Raw genomic sequence first — 3,819 nt, 5'->3', positions numbered from 1 at the left:
CCCACAAGTATAAGTCACCTCTACTCCCTCCTTAGTGACCGATCATGCACCCCTTACCATCCCATTAAAACCTAATCACTCTTACCCCGCTCAATGCCAATATCCCATCCCACAGCATGCTTTGAAAGGATTAAAGCCTGTTATCAATCGCCTGTTACAGCATGGCCTTTTAAAGCCTATAAACTCTTCTTACCATTCACCCATTTTACCTGTCCTAAAACCAGACAAGGCTTACAGGTTAGTTCAGAATCTGCGCCTTATCAACCAAATTGTTTTGCCTATCCCCACATGGTGCCAAACCCATATACTCTCCTATCCTCAATACCTCCCTCTACAACCCATTATTCTGTTAAGGATTTCAAACATGTTTTCTTTACTATTCCTTTGCACCCTTCATCCCAGCCTCTCTTTGCTTTCACTTACTGATCCTGACACCCGTTAGGCTTAGCAAATTGCCTGGGCTGTACTGCCGCAAGACTTCACAGACAGCCCCCATTACTTCAGTCAAGTCCAGATTTCATCCTCATCTGTTACCTATCTCGGCATAATTCTCATAAAAACACACGTGCTTTCCCTGCTGATTGTGTCCAATTAATCTCCCAAACCTCAATCCCTTACAAAACAACAACTCCTTTCCTTCCTAGGCATGGTTATTGCAGCCAGAATTCTTACACAAGAGCCAGGACCGCACCCTGTAGCCTTTCTGTGCAAACAACTTGATCTTACTGTTTTAGGCTAGCCCTCATGTCTGCATGCAGCGGCTGCCGCTGCTTTAATACTTTTAGAGGCCCTAAAAATCACAAACTATGCTCAACTCACTCCCTACATTTCTCATAACTTCCAAAATCTATTTTCTTCCTCATAACTGACACATGTACTTTCTGCTCCCTGGCTCCTTCATCTGTACTCACTCTTTGTTAAGTCCCACAATTACCATTGTTCCTGGCCTGGACTTCAATCCAGCCTCCCACATTATTCCGGATACCACACCTGACCCTGTTTCTCACCCTGATCACACCTGATTTATTGATGGCAGTTCCACCAGGCTTAATCACCACTCACCAGCAAAGGCAGGCTATGCTATAGTATCTTCCACAGCTATCATTGAGGCTACTGCTCTGCCCCCCTCCACTACCTCTCAGCAAGCCGAACTAGTTGCCTTAACTCAAGCCCTCACTCTTGCAAAAGGACTACATGTCAATATCTATACTGATTCTAAATATGCCTTTCATATTCTGCACCACCATGCGGTCCTATGGGCTGAAAGAGGTTTTCTCACTACACAAGGGTCCTCCATCATTAATGCCTATTTAATAAAAACTCTACTCAAGGCCACTTTACTTCCAAAGGAAGCTGGGGTCGTTCACTGCAAGGGGCATCAAAAGGCATCAGATCCCATTGCTCTAGGCAACGCTTATGCTGATAAGGTGGCTAGACAAGCAGCTAGCTCTCCAACTTCTGTCCCTCACGGCCAGTTTTTCTCCTTCATGTTGGTCACTCCCACCTACTCCCCCGCTGAAACTTCCACCTATCTATCTCTTCCCACACAAGGCAAATGGTTCTCAGACCGAGGAAAATACCTCCTTCCAGCCTCACAGGCCCATTCTATTCTGTCGTCATTTCATGACCTCTTCCCTCTAGGTTACAAGCCTCTAGCCCGTCTCTTAGAACCTCTCATTTCCTTTCCATCCTGGAAATCTATCCTCAAGGAAATAACTTTTCAGCGTTCCATCTGCTATTCTATTACCCCTCAGGGATTATTCAGGTCCCCTCCCTTCCCTACACATCAAGCTCAGGGATTTGCCCCCACCCAGCACTGGCAAATTAGCCCTACTCACATGCCCCGAGTCAGGAAACTAAAATACTTCTTAGTCTAAGTAGACACTTTGATTGAATAAGTAAAGGCCTTTCCTACAGGGTCTGAGAAGACCACCGTAGTCATTTCTTCCCTTCTGTCAGACATAATTCCTCAGTTTGGCCTTCCCACCTCTATACAGTCCAATAGCAGACTGGCCTTTATTAGTCAAATCAGCCAAGCATTTTTTCAGGCTCTTAGTATTCAGTGAAACCTTTATATCCCTTACAATCCTCAGTCTTCAGGAAAAGTAGAACAGACTAATGGTCTTTTAAAAACACACCTCACCAAGCTCAGCCACCAATTTAAAAAGGACTGGACAATACTTTTACCACTTTCCCTTCTCAGAAGTCAGACCTGTCCTCAGAATGCTACAAGGTACAGCCCATTTGAGCTCCTGTATAGATACTCCTTTTTATTAGGCCCCAGTCTCATTCCAGACACCAGACCAACTTAGACTGTGCCCCAAAAAACTTGTCATCCCTACTATCTTCTGTCTAGTCATACTCCTATTCACCATTCTCAACTACTCATACATGCTCTGCTCTTGTTTACACTGCCAGTTTACACTGTTTCTCCAAGCCATCACAGCTGATATCTCGTCATGCTATCCCCAAACTGCCACGCTAAACTCTTGAAGTAAATAAATAATCTTTGCTAGCAGGACTATGCTGAATCTCCTTAGGCACTCTCTAATCAGATGTCCTAGGTCCTCCCAATTCTTAGACCTTTTATACCTGTTTTTCTCCTTCTCTTATTCCATTTAGTTTTTCAATTCATACAAAACTGTATCCAGGCCATCACCAATAATTCTAAATGACAAATGTTTCTTCTAACAACCCCACAATATCACCCCTTACCACAAAATCTTCCTTCAGCTTAATCTCTCCCACTCTAGGTTCTCATGCCGCCCCTAATCCTGCTCAAAGCAGCCCTGAGAAATATCGCCCATCCATACCACCCCCAAAAATTTTCGCCGTCCCAACACTTTACAACTATTTCATTTTATTTTTCTTATTAATATAAGAAGACAGGAATGTCAGGCCTCTGAGCCCAAGCTAAGCCATTATATCCCCTGTGACCTGCACATACACATCCAGATGGCCAGTTCCTGCCTTAACTGATGACATTCCACCACAAAAGAAGTGAAAATGGCCTGTTCCTGCCTTAACTGATGACATTGTCTTGTGAAATTCCTTCTCCTGGCTCATCCTGGCTCAAAAGCTCCCCCAGTGAGTACCTTGTGACCCCCACTCCTGACCGCCAAAGAACAACCCCCTTTTTTCATTTACCTACCCAAATCCTATAAAGTGGCCCCACCCCATCTCCCTTTGCTGACTCTCTTTTCAGACTCAGCCTGCCTGAACCCAGGTGAAATAAACAGCCTTGTTGCTCACACAAAGCCTGTTTGGTGGTCTCTTCACACGGGCGTGCATGAAAGGCCACAAAACAAGTCTCAATAAATTGAAGAAAATTGAAATTATATTAAATACTCTCTCAGATCACACTGGAATGAAATTGGAAATTAACTCTAAAGGGAACCCTCAAAATTTTACAAATACATGATGTAAATTAAATAATCTGCTCCTTTGGGTCAACAGTGAAGTCAAGATGGAAATTCAAAAATTATTTGAACTGAAAGATAAAGTGACATAACCTATCAAACCGTCTGGGATACAGCAAAAGCGGTACTAAAAGAAAAGTTAATAACATTAAATGCCTACATCAAAAAGTCTGAAAGAACTCAAATAGATAATCTAAGCTCACACTTCAAGGAAACAGAAACAAGAACAAAACAAATCCAAACCCAGCAGAAGAAAATAAATAACAAAGATCAGAGCAGAAATAAATGAAATGGAAATAACAAAAACAATACAAAAGATAACTGAAACAAAAGCTGGTTCTTTGAAATCATAAACAAAATCAATAGACCATTAGCAATATTAACCAAAAAGAGAAGAGAG

At 42.7% G+C, this 3,819-nt stretch overlaps 2 annotated features.

The window, feature by feature from the left end:
- Positions 1,079–1,580: an enhancer, noted in NCBI's record as "NANOG hESC enhancer chr8:84418651-84419152 (GRCh37/hg19 assembly coordinates)". NCBI's record gives its function as "activates a minimal SCP1, AML or CMV promoter by ChIP-STARR-seq in naive H9 embryonic stem cells {active_cell/tissue: H9 hESC(naive)}" and the evidence as "EXISTENCE:reporter gene assay evidence [ECO:0000049][PMID:30033119]".
- Positions 2,714–3,256: an enhancer, noted in NCBI's record as "OCT4-NANOG hESC enhancer chr8:84416975-84417517 (GRCh37/hg19 assembly coordinates)". NCBI's record gives its function as "activates a minimal SCP1, AML or CMV promoter by ChIP-STARR-seq in primed H9 embryonic stem cells {active_cell/tissue: H9 hESC(primed)}" and the evidence as "EXISTENCE:reporter gene assay evidence [ECO:0000049][PMID:30033119]".

The sequence above is a fragment of the Homo sapiens genome, chromosome 8 (genome assembly GCF_000001405.40).
Source record: "Homo sapiens chromosome 8, GRCh38.p14 Primary Assembly".
Lineage (NCBI taxonomy): Eukaryota > Metazoa > Chordata > Mammalia > Primates > Hominidae > Homo > Homo sapiens.
Note: the sequence above shows the minus strand (reverse complement) of the source record. Positions and strands in the feature narration are given on the sequence as shown.